This window comes from Homo sapiens, chromosome 12 (assembly GCF_000001405.40).
Source record: "Homo sapiens chromosome 12, GRCh38.p14 Primary Assembly".
Classification (NCBI taxonomy): Eukaryota; Metazoa; Chordata; class Mammalia; order Primates; family Hominidae; genus Homo; species Homo sapiens.
The window spans coordinates 92443133-92464841 of NC_000012.12; the positions used below are offsets into that span (position 1 = coordinate 92443133).

At 37.6% G+C, this 21709-nt stretch overlaps 4 annotated features.

Annotated features, from left to right (window-relative positions):
- Window positions 2451–2560: an enhancer, noted in NCBI's record as "active region_6737". NCBI's record gives its function as "activates an Ori minimal core promoter by ATAC-STARR-seq in GM12878 lymphoblastoid cells {active_cell/tissue: GM12878}" and the evidence as "EXISTENCE:reporter gene assay evidence [ECO:0000049][PMID:35858748]".
- Window positions 2881–2950: an enhancer, noted in NCBI's record as "active region_6738". NCBI's record gives its function as "activates an Ori minimal core promoter by ATAC-STARR-seq in GM12878 lymphoblastoid cells {active_cell/tissue: GM12878}" and the evidence as "EXISTENCE:reporter gene assay evidence [ECO:0000049][PMID:35858748]".
- Window positions 3081–3150: an enhancer, noted in NCBI's record as "active region_6739". NCBI's record gives its function as "activates an Ori minimal core promoter by ATAC-STARR-seq in GM12878 lymphoblastoid cells {active_cell/tissue: GM12878}" and the evidence as "EXISTENCE:reporter gene assay evidence [ECO:0000049][PMID:35858748]".
- Window positions 3881–4130: an enhancer, noted in NCBI's record as "active region_6740". NCBI's record gives its function as "activates an Ori minimal core promoter by ATAC-STARR-seq in GM12878 lymphoblastoid cells {active_cell/tissue: GM12878}" and the evidence as "EXISTENCE:reporter gene assay evidence [ECO:0000049][PMID:35858748]".

A 21709-nucleotide genomic window follows, 5' to 3' on the forward strand; every position in this document is an offset into this window, starting at 1 on the left:
ATTATGATTTATTCCTTGGAAGAGGGCCTGAACTCAAAAGAAATTAAGTAGTAATAACACTTGAAAATTCTCTTTCTCCAATTTCAGTATGCAAATCTATTTACATATCAACCAAGCCTTTGGGACAGGTTAGTTATTGTTTGTGGTGGTAGTGGTTGTGTTGTTTATGTTTGAGTTTTGTGTTTTTCTTTAATTCTGAGATACATTATCAATTTAATGACAACTTTGCAGGATAAAAAAGGAGGAGGAGAAAGAAGGGGAGGAAGAGAAAGGGGAAGAGGAGGAGAAGAAGGGAAAAAAGAGAAAAAATGATTAAATTTAATTTGTGTTCTAATTGTGAAACAATCTAATTTCAAAAATGTTAAAATCTGTGTGTTGGGTTAGAGATGGGAAAAGTATGCTGTATAATAAAAAAAAAATCCCCAGGAGGAAAATGAAATATTTTTAGAGGTACTAGGAATTTTATAGTCAATGGGATCCAAAGCTGTATTTTTAGACAGAGAAATCTGAGGCACAGGTAGACGAGAAATTTTCTTCAAATTCTCGAGGGAATTACTTAGTAGTGAAGCTGGAATCAGAAACCTCATTTCTCAGCCTCAAGTTTGGTTTGCTTTCCATGACACCCTAGAATATTCCAACTAATATCTGAGAAGCAAAAAAGCATCTCATCCTTTCTACTCATATTTCTGGCTGAGGGAACTATTCAAAGAGATAAAGTACATGAATAAATAAAAAATGTGTATCACAGCTAAGTACATCTTAGCAAAGAAATAAGCAAAAGACTATGGTGCCTCAGTTCTCAACACTCTCTTTTGTTCATTTATTTAGTGGCTGTTATCTTGAGTAGGTGATTCTTGCATATCAAATTGCATTTTGGTGTGTCAAAGTGACTGGTTTTACTTGTTTGTTGGTTCCTAAAGCTAATTATTATTTTTAACACCTTTTGATATGCTAAATCAGGCTAATGAGACTAAAATGGGATTTCTCATGGGTTTATTAGTCATCAACACCATCTTACATATGTGTATATATGTTTTAATGCTTTCAAAGTGTAAATAAATGATTATACTTGAGACTCATACAAATATCATAAAGCAGCTTTTTCCTTAGTATTCCTCCTAGAAAATAGATATTTCATTGGCAGAGTCGTGGTGAAAGATGTGGTGTCATACAATAAATTTACTTCAGCCAGCTGTGCGAGCTTAAGTTACCCAGTTCTTTTCTGCCTCAGTGGCCTCTTCTGTAATATGGACTGATAGGGGATCTCACATGCCTGTGTTTAGAATTAAGTCGGATAATTCATGTAAAGTGCTTAGCAAGTCACCTGGCCTATTATAACTAGCCATTATTGTTTGCTAGAACATTTATCTGTTCACAAATTATGCATTGATTGCCTATAATAACTAAACTTGAGGAATGCTTATTACGTACCACGTACTATTCGAAGCACATCACAAGTAGTAACTCATTTCATTTTTATAATGACTCTTTGAGGTAAGAACTATTATTACCATCTCTGCTTTACAAATGAGGAAATTGAGGCATAGAGACGTAAAGTCACTTGTTCAAAGCCTAGCATCTGGGAAACAGTAGAGGTGGGACTCAAACTCAGAAAGCCTGGCTATAGGCTCTGCTCTGCTGTCTCCCGGGATTGGCCACATGCTAAGCATTGGGGCAACAGCAATGAGGCCCATAGGGTTTCTGCTCTCAAGGAGATCACTATAAATCAGCCCCGGGAGATGATCCCTAAAAGAGAAGTACGTCGTTTGCAAAATGACAGCACAGACGCACGAGTTCTGAACTCTTCCTCAGAGTTTGGGGAAGTTGTTTAGCCCTGCTTTCTGCCCTCTCTATGGGTCACACACATACTCCGAGTGAAGAATGACGGAGTTACCCATCTTCTGGCTCCTTCCCGTGACACTGGCTACCCTATGCTAAAAACCAGCCCCCAGATTCCACATCCCTGAATGTCTTATTTACAGGTTCTGTCATTTTCATGATAACCTTTCTAATGTTCTAAATTTCCTTTCTGTGGGTTGTCAAGCAAATTCATTCTCGGCAGTCAGTAAGAACTCCTTGTTCAAAATGCCACACATTACAGAGTCAATGATTCTAAACACATTTTTTTTTAGTGCATCCAACTTATAAGCTGCAGTGCTAGAAACAAATTCACACTCCCTTTACACTACAGTGCCATCTTTTCCGAGGGTGGGGCTCGCGTTTCTTCACCATCCAGTTTCTCATACGTAGATTATGATTTCTGCTTTTGCCAAACAGGACATTGTTTGACCAAGTCCTTATGGGAGGAAGCACAGCCCAGTGAGCAGAACAATGATTTGAAAGTCCTGGGTTCTATTTTCAGCTCCTCTGTTGACTAGCTGCGCATTCAGCCCTAGGAAGGTCAAAAGCAGAATGGCCTTGCTTTGACGACTTTCTCTGCATGTACAGCTCTAGATGGAAAATATATCAGGCATCTGGCTCTCAGCCTTGAGGAGCTGGTCTTTGGAGAATACATGTGTAGTCACACTTTGTTTTCATTTTTAAAGCAAAAGAACAAAACAAACTCTCTAGGGGGAAAATGGGCTGGTAGAGAATGGAAGAGAGAAACCTAATAACATTTTAAACAATCCAGGAGTTAAGGGATTGCTTGAGTCATTCAGATCAAAGAAGGCTCTTTGGCACAAGTTGGAGTCTCCGGCATTTGAAAATGGAAGAGGCAAAGAGGAGGAAGCTTTGAGAGACTTTTTCAAACCGGGACGGTAGCAGATACTCAGAACTCTGCCTGTAGGGACCAGGCGGGGAACTCAGGCAGGTTAAGGCCTGTGGGCAAACTGGAAAGCCCAGGCCACCTGTGAAGTGGTCTGCTGCTAGTGATACCAGATGCTTGTTGTGGAAGAAGGAAGTTACTCTTGCCAGAACAGCTGAATTTTCAAGAGAAACTGAACATTGAGATTTTTGTCATTAGAACCCCTGATTTTTTTACATGATGAAATCTAATCATCATTTTTAAACTTTTAAAGGGGCACTGAGCAGGCAAGATCAAACATATAGCCTAAGCAATGTACTCCCCATGTCTCTTCTATATGTAGATGGGGTGTGGTTCCTTAAGGGCTTTAGTTGTATGTTCTGTGAATGAATAGAGGCTAGATTCCAGACAAAAATGATTAGCAGTGACTCAACTTTAGCTGCACTTTGGAATACCTGGGTGTTACCTGGGACTGCAGCCTGAGCACTGGGATTTTATAAATGCTTCTCAAGTGATTCCAGCATGCAACCATGAATAAGAACCACTATGTTAGGATATTGCGAGAAGGTTTAAGCATTACAGAAAGTTGGGTTTTAACTTGATAAGATACATAATCTTATCAAGACACATGTGATCTCTGAACATGGATCAGGGAATTGACATTCAATATAAATGGCATTTTCTTTTCTTTTTTTAGACTCTTTTGAGAGTTCCAGTTAAAAACTCTCTAGCATCATTGCTGATGGCCGTAATTAATATCTTTGGGTTCATTAGCAATCAGCTAACAACAGACATCCATTGGCAAAACAAGGGTATAGTGGTAGAGGTCAAACACAACGAAAGCCAAAGGACAAGTGCAAGCCCTGAGCACAGATAAGTATTTACAGGGAAAATTAACTTTTTTTCTGATGGCCATGAAGCAAAATAGACAGTAGAGCAAAGGGAGCCTTTTACAAGAGCAGTTCAATCTTTGTCCACATTCTAATGGCTATAAAACTCACCATGAAGCTAGCAAATGGTGCATACAACTAATACTTTCAGTCTTTTCTTCCTTATTTCACAGGTCTTATGCATTATAAATAACACGACTAAGTCTCAGCGGTTGTATCCATGGCTAGTTCTTATTTCAGCTTTGGTTCCTCTTGCTATTTACTATGTTTCTCATAAAAGATGTTAGTGTGGATTGAGTATATGAAATCATGTACAATGGAATGTTAAATGGGGCATTCCCTCTTGTCTAGGTATATCAGAAGAGGCCCAATACACTTGGTGCCAAGGAAGCTCACCTTCTAAAACCAGATGGTAGCTTGCCTATAAAAGGATACACTAAGAGGTTCTACCCAAGTTATCACATTGGCAGCCTCCAGCTTATCAAGAGAGACTTTAAAGAACTTGGCAGTGGGGATCTTTCTAGAGGGCGTTGTCAATTTAGGAAGCATCTTCGTCTTCATGCCTCACCTTTCCGATAAGTTTGTTTCTTCCTTAATGCAAACAAAATGAGAGACACTTTGATGGGACCACTTGCAGAGCTTGACATGTGTCATCTGGATTTTAACAGACAGATATCATTGAGATATCTGACTCACACCTGAAAACACTGTAACTAGAACTACTCTCTCTCTCTCTCTCTCTTTCTCTCTCTCTCTCTCTCTCTCTCTCTCTCTCTCTTTATGCCTAAAACAGAGCTATGTGGAGGCTAAGCAGGACTTCCAAAATTTGAAACAAATAAGGAACCTGTTCAAAGAAGGCAGATTGAGGCATCTTGAAAGAAATTGCCTGGCAGGGTGTCATGACTCCATTAGGGGGAACGTACCATTTGAAGCCAAGAGAATAAAGAAGTCATGGATGACTAGCTTGAGAAGGCGTAACTGGAGTCAGGGAAACAGTTACTGAGAGAGATGTCCTGCAATGTAGGGAAAAAGAGGGAGCTTCCCCAAACTCAACACAATGCTCTATGAAACACACATCAGTTGGGATGTTCACTAAACTCAGAGGATCACAATGACAGATTATAAGAGCGCCAGTCAAGTTAGAACTTCTTATTCCATCTTACGACCTTCCTCTTCCTCCCCTACACTCCTCTGTATTCTTCCTCTTGCTCCCCCACAGCCTCTATACTCTGAGAAGCAGTCTCTTGCTCTGCTCCTTCTGTGAATTGTTAATTCAATTATTTCAAATTTCTCACTTCATTCTCTGTCTAGTGGGTGTGAGTCCTGGGTGTCTGGGGATCTCATATGTGATTTATTGTGGTCAGAATGCAAAAATATAGGCAAAATCATAACATAGTAGTTAAATTTATAATTATTTGGATTATTGAAATACATCTATAAAAAGTATTTTATAATTTGTTTTGAATACTTTGTCTTTGGAGAGGCCAGAAATCACAGACAGGAAAGGAGGAGGAGATAGAGAGAGGAGAAGATGGGGAAACCAACCTGGCCTCTCCTCCTACTCCTGGATTTCCAATCTGATAACAGAGTTGTGAGAAAAGACAGAGCTTAAGTTTACATGGATAAGACTTTTGACTAGACTTTTTACTACCTTGGAAAAAAGCTTTTTTAAAAAATTTATTACCTGTTGGTAATCAGAAAAGCCAAGAGAGAACTACTCAGAGTTTTATTAGTTAGAGGAACCTGGGGATTGAGGGTGAGTACTCAAAATGTCAGGTTTGGAGGGGCAGAAGCAAAATTTAAAAAATTGTTTATACCTGCAACCTGTCAAGTCCAGTTTACACAATAATACAAAATAAACCAATTTAACTTGAACACATAAAATGTTTTCATGATGTGGATTCAATTTAACAAGGGCACAACATGATACCACAGTCATCTTTCAAAATTCTCATCTTTAGGATTCAGCTTTGGTACCTTAAAGATATATTGGGTTACAGCAACATTTCTGCAGGAAGCTAATATGTATTCCTTAAAAAGAGTTCCATGATCAAAGATATTGGTGACAAACTTGTTCACTCAAAAAATAAATAGAGGCCAGCCATGGTGGCTCATGCCTGTAATCCCAGAACTTTGGCAGGACAAGGCAGGAGGATCACTTGAGCCCCAGAGTTGGAAACCAGCCTAGACAATATAGCAAGACCCTGTCTCTAAAAAAGAAATAGCTGAAAGTGGTGGCATGTGCCTGTAGTCCCAGCTACTTGGGAGGCTGAGGTGTGATGATCATCTGAGTCCAGGAATTTAAAGCTGCTGTGAACTATGAAGGCTCCATTGCACCCCAGCCTGGGTGACAGAGCAAGACCCTACCTCAAAAAGTAAAATAAATAAATAAGTAAGTAGGGTTTTTTTTTGTTGTTTTTTGTTTTGTTTTGTTTTTAACTGTAGGTCTCCTAGAATGTTTTAATGTGTGTTGTAAGGGAACAATTCTATAAGAAAGAATACCTGGTGGTGGCATTTTCAAGCTCATTTGTTCAAAGGCTGTTATTATTCCCAAATATTTAGGCTTCCATTTATTAAATATTTGCTGAACATCTACCATGTGCAGGCATGGGGGATGGGTGTTGGGGTTTAATTAAATATATCAAATGGGCTCCTCTCACTCAAAGATCTTATGATCTAATGGATTGCTTATTTTAGTCCTCATCTTAGTTTGAAAATCTCTTTGGAGAGATCTGTTCTATGCCATTTTTCAGATTTCTGCCACTGCAAAACTATTTGTTAACACAAAAATACAAATTACCTGAGGAAGAAGTTGTGTTGTAAAATAGATGTGTTTTTATAAAACAAAATTTAAAAGTGCATTCACAACCAAGCATAACAAATATGCTTTGGTCACCTTTCCTTTCTGTCCTTGATCAACTTCAGCTGATTATGGAAAATTCTTGATAAAGTTATAAAGTCATCCACCTCTTTTTTCTCTAGGTCTAACTCCTTTCCTTGTATTGGACGTCAAATCCCCACATTCTACTCTTTCTGCTCCCTCAGAAAAGATCTGACATCAGTCATTCGGATTGGTGTGGGCTTCCTGTGAGATATTTTGACAAAGGTTTTCTTTATGTGTTAGCACTGAACAGTTTTGGCAATTTTCTTCCCCTTCACCAGCCTACTACACATGACCACACAGGTGTTTACATATGTACATACACACACGTGCACACTTACCTTCCTTCAAAACAGGCCAAATGCAACATCTTGTCTCCTTCTTGCAGGCAAAGTAGGAGACCTGTGTTGAGTGACAGAATTCCTTTACCTTCTGGGCTATAGCATCCCAGAGAATGTCCTCACCTGGGAGTTTTCTATGCATGGCTTTCCTTGATTCCCAGGAAGATCTACATCCAGTTAACTTAACTATGGCAGCTGAATCCTGACAATGGTGTGAAGGAAAACATGGTGGATACAAATGAGCACCATGGGTACAGCTTGATGATGTCCAGCTTTATGCATAATGTGGACTGGCAGGGCCTTTGATCATGCCTCAATAGCTGTGAAGATAGCAGATGGCAAAAGAAGTGGTAGGTTCTAAGTAGGTTCCCCTTCTCTACTGGTTGCCACAGACTCAAAAGGAATTTTTACTACAGGAAGGGACCCAAATATTCTAGCCTAGCCTCTATACTCTGAAAAGCAGTCTCTTGCTCTACTCCCTCTGTGAATTGTTAATTCAATTCTTTCAAATTTCTCAATGGATTCTCTGTCTAGTGGGTGTGGGTCCTGGGTGTCTGGGGATCTCATACATGATTTCTTGCGGTCAAAATACAAAAATGTAGGCAAAATTATAACATAGTAGTTGAATTTATAATTATTTGGATTATTGAAGTACATCCATAAAAAGTATTTTATAAGTTGTTTTAAGGCCTTGACCTGTTCAACATATTTCTTAAATGTATCTCAATTCCTTCTACATTTTGCTATCATACGTATCGCCATTTATGTCTAGGCTACCATCATCTAAGACCACAATAATAGGTACCAACTTATCTTCCCACTTTTGTCCTCTGCAATTGAAAAATAAATCAGGGTTTTTACTTCTGACCAAAATGGAGGTCTCAGGTGTTTGACTAAAGGTAGTATAGCACTGTGATGCTAAAATAAGGGAAAGCAATGACGTGACATTGAGTGATTGTGAGTGGCCAACCATCCCCATTCTCCTAGTTTGCTTGGGACTGAGGGAGTTCCCAGAACATGAGACTTTCAGTGCTACCACTGAAAATGTCCTGGCCAAACCAGGATAAGTTGTTCATCTGAAAGCCCTGTGTTTTTACCAATTGACAGCTTGTAGAAAGTTTCCAGTCTGTAGTACAGGAAGGAGAGACTCTTATATAGCTTGCCAGGCTTGAGTTGAGGAGATAGAAGCAAAAATTTAGAGAGACAAGGAGGCTAGAATTTGAAGGGTGAGTAGTAAAAGGAAGAAAGCTGCACAAAGAGGGAGACAGTAGACTACAGATGTGCAGAAGGGTCCCTTTCAGTTAATTGAGTTCTGATCTCACCATTCATGAGAGATGTCTTAGTCTGTTCTGTGTTTCTATAATGGAATAGCTGACACTGGGTAATTTATCAAGAAAAGAGGTTTATTTCAATCATGCTTCTGGAGGTTGGGAAGTCCACAAAGCATAGCACCAGAATCCACTTGGCTTCTCGTGAGGGCCTGTGCTGCAATAGAACATGACAAGAAGTAGAAGGGGAAGCAGACAGAGATCAAACACAAGAGGCACCCCACTCTCCTAAGAACTAATCCATCCCTGTGAGAGCTAATTCAATCTTGTGAGAGCAAGATGGCACTTCTCACAATCTTGTGAGAGTAAGAACCCACTGACCACCGTGAGAATCGCACCAAGCTTCCCATGAAGGCAGAACCCTCATGACCCAAATGTCTCCCATTAGATTCCACATCTTAAAGTTCCATCTCCTGGCATTGCTGCACTGGGAATTAAGGTTCCAACATGAGTTGTGGAGGAGACACTCAAACCGTAGCAAGAGGCAACTATCTGAGACTGGGGAAAGAAATATCAGAAAAAAGTAAGTGAAAAACCCATGGACCCTCACACAGGGCTGCAATTAGTTTGTGATCCCAAAAGAAGGAAAGGAAATTGTCATAATCCAATAAACATTGGGTAGAATATTCAGAGGAGCCCTGTGTTAGTAATGAGGATAAATTAGCCTTAGGCTAAAGACTATTCTGGACCCATCCTAACAAAGCTTACAGGATAGGATCCAATTGCTTCCAAATAACTGTGTTTCAGAAAAACAAAAAACAAACAAAAAAAAACTAACATTACTTAAAGAAATATAACAAAATCCATAAATCAAGGAGCAAGTCAAGAAATAGAAAAAGAATCAGAAATGATGGAGATGCTGGAACTAACAGACAAAAATCTAAAACTATTATAAATATTCCCTACATGTCCAGTAAGGTAGAGGAAAAGATGAGCATAATAAAGAGAAAAATTGAAGATATTAAAAAATACTCAAATGGAACTTCTAGAGAAAACAATTATAAATGAGTGATCAAAAAATAAACTACAGGGTTTTATAGAAAATTGGACACTGTAAAAGAAATATTGGTGAACTTGAACATAAAGCAAAAGAAAATGACCCCAAACAAACACTGAGAGTAAAAAAAAAAAAGACAAAAAACCCCCAGAAAATCAGTGAGATATGGGAAAATATAATTGTTATAACCTACAAGTAATTGAAGTTCAGGAGGAGAAGTGGAGAATGGAATATTTTGAAATAATGATGACTAAAAGTTCCAAAATTTGATGAAAATGATAACCCAAAGACTCAAGAATTTCCATGAACCTCAAGCAGAAGAAAGGCTTTTAAGCAATAAAGGAAGCTAAGAAAAATCATAGTAAAATTGGCAGGAGAGTGGGAAGAACAGTGAAAAAAACATTTTTTAAGAGCAACCAGAGAAAAAAGATAGGTTACATGGCAAGGAACAAAGGTGAGAATAATGCCATCCTTTTTGTCAGAAACTATTTAAGCCAAATAATAATAGGCATCTTTAAAATATAAAAATGAAAAAAAAGTTAATCAAGAATTGTTTATACAATGAAAATATCTTTCAAAAATCAAGTCAAAGACAGATTTTCAGACAACAAAAGGAGGAGATGACTCATAATCACCAAGTGTGCACTTAAACAAATATTAAAATAAATTATCTAGGCAGATGAAAAATGATAACAGGTGGAAAATTTGGGCCTACACAAAGGAATGAAGAGAGAAATGAATAATATGTAGATAAATGTAGAACAGATTTTTTATTCTTTTCCAGCCTCTTTAAGAGATGAATAACTCTTTAAAGTTAAAAACAAAAAAGAACAAATTCTGGAGTTTGTGTCATACATAGAAGTAAAAAGCATGGCAACCTAGCACAAAAGGTTAAATAGGAAATGGATGGATACTGATGCAAGGTCCATATACCATGAGTGAAGTCGTATAATATTACATGAAGGTGAACTGTGATAAATTTAAAATGCATATGTACTGTAAACCTCAGAAGAACCACTAAAAATAGTTATGTCTAACAAGACAATAGTAAAAATAAAATAAAGTAATAAAAATAACTAATAAAAATAATAACAGGGAGAGAGGAATAAAAAACAAAGAGAAGACAAGTAAATAGAAAACAAATAACCAATATAGAAGATTTAAAACCAACAGTATCAATAGCTACACTGCATGTTAACAGTCTAGACACTTGAATTAAATGGCAGATACTGGCGGGATTGGATTAAAAGGCAATACCCAACTATATACTGCCTGAAATATAGTACTTACCAAGTGGATTTTTAAAATTAATAATAAAAGAATGGCAAAAGATATACCATGCAAACACTAACCAAAAGAAAGCTGGAGTAACTATATTAATATATGACATCTTATAGTTCCAATATTTATAGTTGGAAAATTAACACCTCAATCTCAGTAATTGATAGCAAAAGTAGACAGAAAAATCAGTGAAGATACAGAAGACTTGAATAACACTGTCAATCAACTTGACCTAATTAACATTTATAGAACACTCCATACAACAAGAGGAAAATCTACATTCTTTCCAAGGTCATTCAGTAAGATAGACAATATCCTGGGTCATAAAACAAGGCTCAATCAATTTAAGAGAATTAATGTAATACAAAGTATATTCTCTGACCACAGGAGAATTAAACTAGAACTCAATAACGCAAATATATCTGCAGAAAACTCCAAATATTTGGAAACCAAACCATAGGTCAACGAGGAAATCACAAATGATATCAGAAAAGATTTTCCCTGAATGAAAACAAAACACAATATATCAAAAATTGTGGAATGCAACTAAAGCAGTGCTTAGAGAATTTATAGCATTAAATATTTATGTTAGAAAAGAAGGCTTTCTTAAATCAATGATCTCAGCTTCCACCTTAGAAAACTAGAAAAAGAAGAGGATATTAAGCAAAAGTTAAAAATAAAAATAAAAGCTACCTTTATTGAACACTTACCAGGCATTATCTTAAGTGATTTATGCTAAGTGTCTTTTCCAATCTGGTCATAACATTATGAGTTAGTCATGATTAATATCCCACATTTCAGATGAGGAAATTAAATCTTGCTGAACTTCTGTAACTTCCAAGTTTATGTAGTTAACCAAGAGCCAGAGTTATTATTTGAACTCAGGTCTCTATGCTGTTGTAACTTCAACATCCTACAGATTGAGTGTATTTATACCGTTAAGCATATTTTATTATCTTCAGGTTTGATATTTCTTTGTTGCATATATATTATACATATATATAAATACTATATACACATACATACACGAATTCTTCATTTACCTAGAACCAAAAGGACCTTCTCCTAGCATGCTGGAGAATGTCTAGAGACCAGACATTGCTATTATCATCTCTGAAAACTGTGGCATCAGTGAAATGACCTACCATGAAGGATGTCACTGGGAAGTCTGTGATGGCAGTCCATGAATAATTTGCACTTGTTCCTGCCAGTCTTTCAAGCTACATGATCTCGAGTCATGGAGATATGGGTGAGCAACTGAGTATCACAGTGCTCTCCATGGCCACCATAACTCACTCAAGTCTTAATATCTTCTCGCAAGGATAAACCCAGCCTCCTTAAAACAAAATCAAGCTCATGTTCTTTACATGAGAAGCCAAATTCATCTTTCTCCAAGCACAAAGTAGTAAAGAGTGCTGGACATCTGATTTCTATTTGTAGAACTGCCAGGCAATTATTGTGTGTCTTGGGCAAGGGACTTGATTTTCTAAATCCTCAGTTTTCTCTGTTGCAAAATGGAAGCAAAAAGATCTCTCCAATGTCCTCTCCTTGTTTGCTGCTTTCTGCATCTTTTCTCCTACACAATTGACAATTTTAACTGCCTTATCGGTATAACTACTGAAGAATCAGTTCCCAATATCCATGAAGGTAAAAGTCAGATATTATTATTCATCCACTCCAAATCCTCCAATGACTTCCCATTTCACTAAAATAAAAATGTAAGTCCTTACGATGTCCTCACAACATAGTTTCTCCCATCCCTCTGTACAGCCTATTATTTCTTTGGCTTTATCTATTATTCCTTCCCTCTGTATTAGTCAGCTGGGTTCCCGTGATGAAATACCACTGACTGAGGAGCTTCAACAACACAAATGTATTTATTTATTTATTTTATTTTATTTTATTTTATTTTATTTTTGAGACAAAGTCTCACCCTGTTGCCCAAACTGGAGTGCAGTGGCAAAATCTTGGCTCACTACAACCTCCACCTCCCAGGTTCAAGCAATTCTCCTACCTCAGCCTCCCGAGTAGCTGGGACTACAGGCATGCACCACCATGCCCGGCTAATTTTTGTATTTTTAGTAGAGATGGAGTTTCTGTATGTTGGCCAGGCTGGTCTTGAACTCCTGATCTCATGATCTGCCCACCTCAGCCTCCCAAAGTGCTGGGATTACAGGCGTGAGCCACCATGCCTGGCCACAAATTTATTTTCTCACAGTCCTAGAGGCTGGAAGTCTAAAATCAAGGTGTCAGCAGATTTCATTTCTTCTGACGCCTCTCTCCTTGACTTGTAGATGACTGCCTTCTTGATGTGTCCTTACATGGTCTTTCCTCTGTGCACGCACATACCTGGTATCTCTGTGCATGCCCAAATTCCCTTTTCTTATAAGGACATCAGTCAGATTGGATGAGGGCCCAACCTGAAGGCCTCATTTTAACTTAATCACATCGTAAAAGGCCCTATCTCCAAGGACTCTTAGATATATTAGAGGTTAGGGCTTCAATGTGTGAATTTGATAAGGGGAGGGACATAATTCAGCCCATAATACTCTCACTTACTGTGTTCCAGCTAAACTGGTCTTCTGCATGGTCTTCAAACACACTCTTGTCTCAAGGCTTTTGCACTGGCTATTCCTTCTCCCTGTGCCGCTGCAAAGAACGATCATGTTTGCCGCAATCTTGTAGTTTTAAGGACCTTTTCATAACCTAATGCACATGTCAACCCATGGCCAGAACCCTATGTAAGATTTATCCCCAATTTTTTTTTTGGCCTCCTTGCTCCTCTCTTTTAATTTGTTCCCTTTGGCTTCCTTAAGTATTAACTCTAACAGATAACAGCTTTACAGTTTGGCTTCCCTTGTTTTATTCAACTCAGTTTCAGGTTATTATAATGTCTTCATTTCCGATGTGGCCGCCATATTGGATGGTGCTGAATCACCCATTCAAAAGAAATGTGTTAATGCCAGTTTATGTGCCAGTCATCGTTAGTATCTGGAAATACACAGGAAAATATTAGGGTTAGGATTAATGAAGACTAATGAATTCAGTAGTGGTATACACAGAGTATCATCAGAGCCCAAAAAAGGAACATTTATATGAAAGAATATCAGGAAGGCGTCTGGAAAGAGTTGGTACTACAGCTACAGTTTGAAAAATGAGCAACTTAGCCAGGTATACAGAGGGGAAGAGAATTTTCTAGACTCTGTTAGCATCATGCATGAAAGTATGGAAGCATGAAACAGTATGATACATTTACAGAAAAGCGCATGTAGAGAAGTATGAGATAATGGGGCTTGATTGATAGAAGGCTAGAGAATAAAAATCATGTGTGCTAAGATAATTTATCTTGAAAGGTCCAGGGAGCATTTTAAAATTCTTAACAAGGGAATCATTTGGTCGGATCTCCAATTTAGAACGTTTAGTATTCCATCATTGAAGACAGTGACATGTAAGAGTGAGTTCTGGATGAAGGAAGCCAGGTAGGGAGTTACTGTAGTAATTCTTCTATGAAGAAATGAGGACTAGAACAAGAGCAGAGGCAACACAAATATAATGGAAGGTACGGCTATATGACACAGTAAGGAAATTGAATCTATAGAATTGGTGCTGGGTTTAAACATGAGAATTGAACGAGAAGAAAACTCTAAAATAAATCCCAGGTTTCTGGGTTTGGCAAAGAAAGAGATGATGATATTATTCATCATTAGAAGGGAGAGAAACATTAACTTGCAGACACATTGAGAGTAGTGAAACTTCCGTAAGAGCTGTCCAGTGAACAGGTATTTTTATACATTTTGTCAAGGGCAAGAAAATTTCCCATTGATTGGGGCCTATTTAGTTGCCTTCTTCTTCTTGCAAGAGTACTATTTTTCTCAACACACCTTGTAATCTTAGGCAAAGGGAAGAAGGCTTTTATTTGGAGTTGCTTTTATATGAGACCAAGTATAACTAAAAAGATATAGCATATCCTCAACCCCACCCAGCCCCCATTCATTGCAGCACCTCCTAAGGTGTAGATGTCCCCTGTATCCCAAAAACGTGAGTGGTGACTAAGTGTGATGTGGCACAAACGTTGACCACACTAAAGTGACCACATAGTACTTCGCTGCTCCCACTGGGAAACAAAACATAATACAAATATACAATGCTTCACAGAGTAGCAGGTGATTCTTTTTTTTTTTCTTAAAGTCAGATTTATTGAGGTATAGTTTACACTAAACAGTTTACTTTTTGTAACTTTTAAGTTCAGAGGCATCTTTTGACCTCAAAAACCTAGTTAAGTAAGCAAAGGAGAACTTTTTTTTTGTTTTCATTTCACTGATGAGGAAGCTGATGATTAAAGAGGTTAAATGACTTGTCCCGGGTCATACTTAGTCTTGAGTAAGCAAGATTAAGTCTTCTGACTCTTAATTCTGCTTTTTCCAAGATATCACAGAGGATCTTCCAGAACAGCTTACTTAGAAAGGACATATAATCTGTTCCTCATAACAGTTTTATGGTAATAGGAATTTAATCTTCTAAGTAATCAACTCAGGCTTTTCCACTTACCAGTGAAATTGCAGGAGGAAACTATAGAACTTGAAACACTATCTTCCACATTTCTGTATTGATCCTGTTTGATGGTTTGTGATATTAAGGGAATACATGACTATCATCTAGTGTTTCAAGACCAAGCCCTTCAAAGTAGAGTAAGCCACAACATAAAAAGTGCTTAGTTACCTTCTTGGCTCTAGAGAGTCATTAAATCCAACCTTTCTCTTCTGTCTAGCTGCCTAGGAGTGGCTTCTGTTTTAATCATCATCATCATTATTTGTATTAGTCTGTTCTCGCATTGCTATAAAGAACTACCCGAGACTGGGTAATTTACAAAGAAAAGAGATTTAATTGACTCACAGTTCCACAGGCTGTACAGGGAGCATGGATATGGAGGCATCAGGAAACACAATCATGGTGGAAGGTGAAGGGGAAGTAGGCACATCTTCACATGGCAGAGCAAGAGAGACAGAGTGAAGGGGAAGGTAACACTTTTAAACAACCAGATCTCAGCCGGGCGTGGTGGCTCACACTTGCAATCCTAGCACTTTGGGAGGCCAAGGTGAGTAGATTGCCTGAGCTCAGGAGTCTGAGACCAGCCTGGGCAGCATGGTAAAAACTCGTGTCTACTAAAATACAAAAAATTAGCCGAGAGCGGTGGCACATACCTGTTATCCCAGCTACTCGGGATGCTGAGGCACAAGAATTGCTTGAACCCAGGAGGCAGAGGTTGCAGTGAGTTGACATTGTGCTACTGCACTCCAGCCTGGGTAACAGGGTGAGACTCTCTGTTTCCAAAATATATATACACACACACACACATACACACACACACACACACACACACATACATATATTTATTTATTTATTTATTTATTTATTTATTTGTGTGTGTGTGTGTGTGTGTGTGTGTGTGTATGTGTATCTGTATGTGTATGTGTATATATATAAACAACCAGATCTCGTGAGAACTCTATAATGAGACCGCACCAGGGAGATGGTGCTAAACTATTAGAAACCACCCCCATGATTGAATCACCTCCCGCCAGGTCCCACCTCCAACACCGCAGGTTACAATTCAACATGAGATTTGAGTGGGGACACAGAGCCAAACCATACCACTATTTTATCATTTCTATTAAGAGTTCCCTGCATTTCAATCTGGCCTAGAATACCTGCTGAGATCATATTCTTATGGGTATTAAGTGATAGTGTCATAAATTACCATCTGCAAAATACTATTTCAGAAGCTGTAATTCTCTGTCAAGTTCTCTGTTATATTGCTACACTCTGCAGATTTTTAGAAAGTTAAATATTATATATGTATACTTCTGCATTAATGACTTTATTTTGATTCTTGTGGTATCTCAGGAATGTAATATGCAAAGTTTGTATAGATGTTTTTCTTTAGTGTAATGAATTATTAGGATATGACTCTTTTGTAAAAGGGAGAAAGAACAGTAATTTGAATCCCTGCAGAGATAGCAATGTATTTGGAGACAATTTGAAATGTTTTATCTTTATCTACTAAAAATTCCAGGTTGAAAAGAATAAAATCACCTCCTCTCTCTAAATGCTTTACTCTGGTAGTATTATTATGTAATTATTCACAAAAAGGTGTGTTCTTGTTACACAATCACTACCTTCTCCTTGGAGATTTCAAAAATAAATAGATGAGAAATTATGTCCCTCAAAAAAGACCACAAAAGTTTATCCAGAAAACTTTCCCTGTATTGATTTTTCTTTAATAAATGAAGCTACATGTTTTCATTTTTAAGAAATATAAAACCTTAACTTGTTCTTCTCTCTTGATACAGTTTAGGAGGTCTTGCATGCATTCTCTAACCTCACCTCCTTCCCCTTTCTCCAACTACACTGTCCTCTTTCAGTTCACTGAACACTCCAAGCTCATTCATGCCTCAGGGCCTTTGCATATCCAGATATCTCCTTCTGCTCACTCCTTATTACCACCATGGTCCATTTGAACTGGATCCTCCCAGTTTTTTCTCTATCACTTCACCCTATTCATTTCCTTATTACAATTTACAAAAACCAAAAAGTGTTACTTCTTATCTCTCTTGCCAGCTCTATCAGAGCTGCTACCACATCTGTGTTGGATGTCATGTATAACCAGCGGCTAGTTCCATGCCTGGTACATCATTGCTTAATATCTTTTTGTTGAATGAATGAATGAATGGATGAATGACAAAAATTCCTAATCAAATTTTCTGTTGCTACCTTTTATACTTACAACTTAATATTACATCCTTATACTCTAAACTCATACATACTTCTATAAATAGGAGAAACTTTACCTACAGAAATAGCACACTAAGATTGTAAGCAGGAGAAAGATAACTGAAGTTTTTCGAATTTAGAATCTATTCTGGTCACTTTCTAATGAGTTCCAGAATCTATGTTCCCATATCTTTGGGAAGCAAATAATTGACTGTTAATAGCTTTTCAAATATGTCATCAGAATGGCAGATGAGGCCTGAAATTCTCAATGGATTGACAAAAAGCCCCTGTCCTCTTGGTAGAATGAAATATAGTACTTGTAACACTTCCTTACTTCCCCCAAATTACTTATTCTTTAAGTTACAGAAAAGGAATTCCACAAACTACAATGAAAACTCAAAGGAAGTAATTACTTTAGGTAATATACAAGTTAATACTATGTCTTTTGTTTGGTTTTTCTTCAGACAGAAAATAACCCAAACTTTTTTTTTAATTCATTCTTGAATTTTAGAAACCATTGTTAAAGTATTAATCATTTCTGAGCCATCCGTAGATTGAGTTTATTCATCCTTTCTTTAAGTTCCTCTCAACAAACTTAGCCATGTTTTATGATGTATAAAACATGCTAAAATATTTTTAATCTAAACCAAAATGGATTTTGGTCAGGTATGCTGACCCTGAGCAGTCAGTATATGACAGGGAGACCAAAACAACCCAACCAGTTCTGATTTTACACAAGTTCCTTGCCTTCTCCTTTAACATATATCGGAATTGCTACCTTAGATGGTTCAGTGTTATGGGAAGTTGACAGACAGAAAATGCAGTATTATATTAGGTCAAAGGTTGACAAACTTTTCCTGTAAAGTGAATATTTCAGACTTTGTGAGACATGTACTCGCTGTCACAATGACACAACTAAGCCATCTTAGAGGGAAAGCAATCACAGACGATATATAGGTGAATATGCATAAGCAGGTGCCTTACTTCAGGCTGCTGTCACAAAGTACCATAGACTGGGTGGCTTACAAACATATTTCTCACTGTTCTGGAAGCTGAGGAGTCCTAGGTCAGAGTGTCTCTCTTCTCAGTTACAGACTGCTGTCTTCTTGTATCCTCACATGGCAAGAAGAGGACAAGAGAGCTCTCTGGAGTCCCTTTCATGAGGACATTAATCCCATTCATGAGGGCTAAAACCTCATACCCTAATCACCTCCCAAAGGCTCTACCACCTAATAAGATCACACTGGGTGCTAAAATTTCAACATATGAATTTTGGGAAGAACACAAACATTCAGTCCACTGCAGTGTGCTATAATAAAACTTGATTTACAAAAGTACACTGTAGGCCAGACATGGCTTGCAGACCATAGTCCGACAACCTTTGAATTAGGTGATCACTACAACATGTAAATGAATATGCATTGTGTCTTAGTTCAGGCTGCTATAACAAAGTACCATAGACATGGTGGTTTACAAATATGTTTCTCACAGTTCTGGAAACTAGGGAGTCCTAAGTCAGAGAGTCCCTCTTCCCAGATATAGACTATTGTCTTTTTCTTGTATCCTCACATGGCAAAAAGAGGATAAGAGCACGATACCTAGATGTATTTGTGATGGGGAGTCAGCCATTTTAACATTTATTAAACACCCACTAAACTCCAAGGTTTCCAGACAGTGTCATAAATAAGCTTCACAACTGATCTGTATTCAGTAGATGTGAAAATTGAAACTGCCTGGTTATTAATCTGTGTGGCCAGGCCATGAACCCATTCTCTTCCGTCAGGTTCAGCCCTTAAGCACACATGCCACAGAGTCAAAAACAACCTAGGTTTGAATCTTGCTCAGCTATTTACTGATGGTGTGCTGTATGGAAAATTACTAGACCTCTGTGTATCTCAGAATCTTCCCCTATCTCATGGAGTGGCTAGGAGGATTAAGAAATAAACCACAAATAGCACTCGCTTAGAACAGTGCTCTCTGCTCAACGCATGTGGCTAGCTTTGACCACAATTCTGCAGACACTTCAGGTTCCAGAGAGTTCTTTCAGAAGTTCCACAAATGTTTGATTTAAATGCTGCTAAAAAATATTTTTCACTACTTAAAATACCTTAATAAAAAGAAACATATATTCATGCAATGTATACCAAATTGAACACATATTCTCATTCTATATGTTAACTTGTGTTGTCAGTTAACTTTTACACAGACATTGAAGCAAAGCTTTTCCTGTTCTTCCTGTTTATTTAAAAATTTTGCAGAGAATTCAAGGTAAGCTGATAAAAATAATTCTTACCATTGTAACCACTTAGCTGTGTGAATCAGAATTGTCTTGACACTGTGCAGCTGAAGTAAAAACAATCTAAAATTGGAGGCTGAGGTGGACATAAGATTCTCATCTCTAATATTGTGTTAATCAGAAAAACTTTATTATTCCCATTGATTGGCTTTACAATAAGTAAATGTTATAAATCGGTTTTAAAGCCTTTATATGAAAATGACTCACTTTTTCTGTTTTATATATTTAAGGTTTCATGTAAATTTTCATTTGGAGCTAAAAAAGACATTTTTCAGCAGAAACATTTAACTAGTACTTAACTAGTCAAGATCTGCCTCTTTAGATTGGGGCTTTTTTTAGATCAAGACTTGATTCTTACGTATCTTTTTTAAAAATTAGACTCTGATAATTAGGTCAAGACAAAGAGTTACCCAAGCAGAGTTCTTCATTCTCCTTTACTCTCCTACCCACATCATTATGTCCTAGTGGCCTTAATAGATATTTTCTCCTTAGATCTTTATAATAATCCTCTGAGTTTGCCAGGCAGGTGATATTAGTCTCATAAATGAAGAAGGTGAATGAGACTCAAAGAATATAAATGACTCCCAAGGGCATATGACTAAACAAGTGGTAGGGTCAAGACTCAAATCAGAAGGCTTCTGACTACTAATCGAGAGTTTTTCCCACCCGTTTTGATGTCAAAGATGGCTGAGATTTTGGGGAGGGGCTTTGGGAGTTCAGAGGTGACCCTTTAGCCACTGCTGAAGCTGATAGAGATGCAAGATCAGTAAACATATCTTATTCTTTGTTTGTTTTTCCATAGGTTGGCTAGGCTTTCTAGTGATTAAAAAAAGCAATGTAGACACTTGTAAAGTGTTTTAATTTATTGTCCTGGACTCTGTCTCACTTGTTGCAAGAGTCATTTGACATGACGCCTTGCTAAGAAATCCACACGTAGGTCTCAAATTCAGTCCTGGTTGATTTCCTAGGGTCTATGCTCCATGAGGGCAGGGACAGTACTAGATATTTGTGTCCACAAACATCTAGAGGCATCCAATTCTTATCTGTTCATAAATATATGATAGAATCAACCATCATTCTATACATTTTTCTTTAGATCTTTTTTCCTTTTGCTACCATTGCTTTTTGGACCATTATTGCAGGCATATCATAAACTTCCTTGGTAACTCTTGGCATTTTGGTCCTGCCTCCCTCAGATTTTTTTCTGCATAATCTCAAAGCATCCAGCAATGCTTCTCCAGCGCCTCTCAGAACAAGGCCCAGATTATCCTCCTGGGATTCAAGTTTCTTCATGATATGGGCATGCCTTATGAATACACCTTCGCTCTGGTCTCATCACCGTCCCTGCAGTCCTCTCTCTATATGGGACATGCTCATTGCTGCTTTGTGTCTCTGCCGTTGCTTGTCTGTTTGCCAGCTTTCATTTCTCTACACAGATCCAAATTGTACCCATGATTTCCTACCTAATTCAACTCTAATTTTCTATGATCCCTGCCCCAGTAATTTTAGCCCATAAGAATTTTTATAGCACAAATTTTGTACTTAATGACACTTGTATTATTTCATGGGTTAGTTAGTGCAATCTCTATGAGGCTGTAGGCAATCAAGTAAGATATTTAAATTGTACCCACATTGTCCTACCTTCCCACACTGTAGACACCTACTAAATTGGAGTAATGTGTAATAAAATAATTTATAGATTTAAGTAATTGAAATCATCCCAAGGCACAGAGAGAACAAACAAACATATTCCTGAGACATGTCTAATTCATGTGCCATGGTTATCTTGAGATAATTTTCCACTGTACTTTTAATAAAAGAGACACCTAAATTATTTCATAGTTTGCTTTTGTTTTTCCTCCTTGAGCATTGCCATGGTTATTGATATTTATTAAATCAAATCTGCCACTGAAGCATATATAACCACTCAAGAATGAATTACAGCAAATATTTAACTGCCTGCCTGCCTTTGAATTGGTTAATCAGAATGAGTGATGCATTAGCTGGTTCAACTCCTTTCACCTGGAAAGATGGCTATCGATTCCCTTTATTGTGATTTAAAAGATTTGAGGAAAGTCTAAAAGCATTTCAAAAGATTTCAATAAGTAAGACATAATTCTGCTTTTCATAACCACTAAATGAAAAAAAAAACTAAATACAAAAAAGATTCTTCGAGTA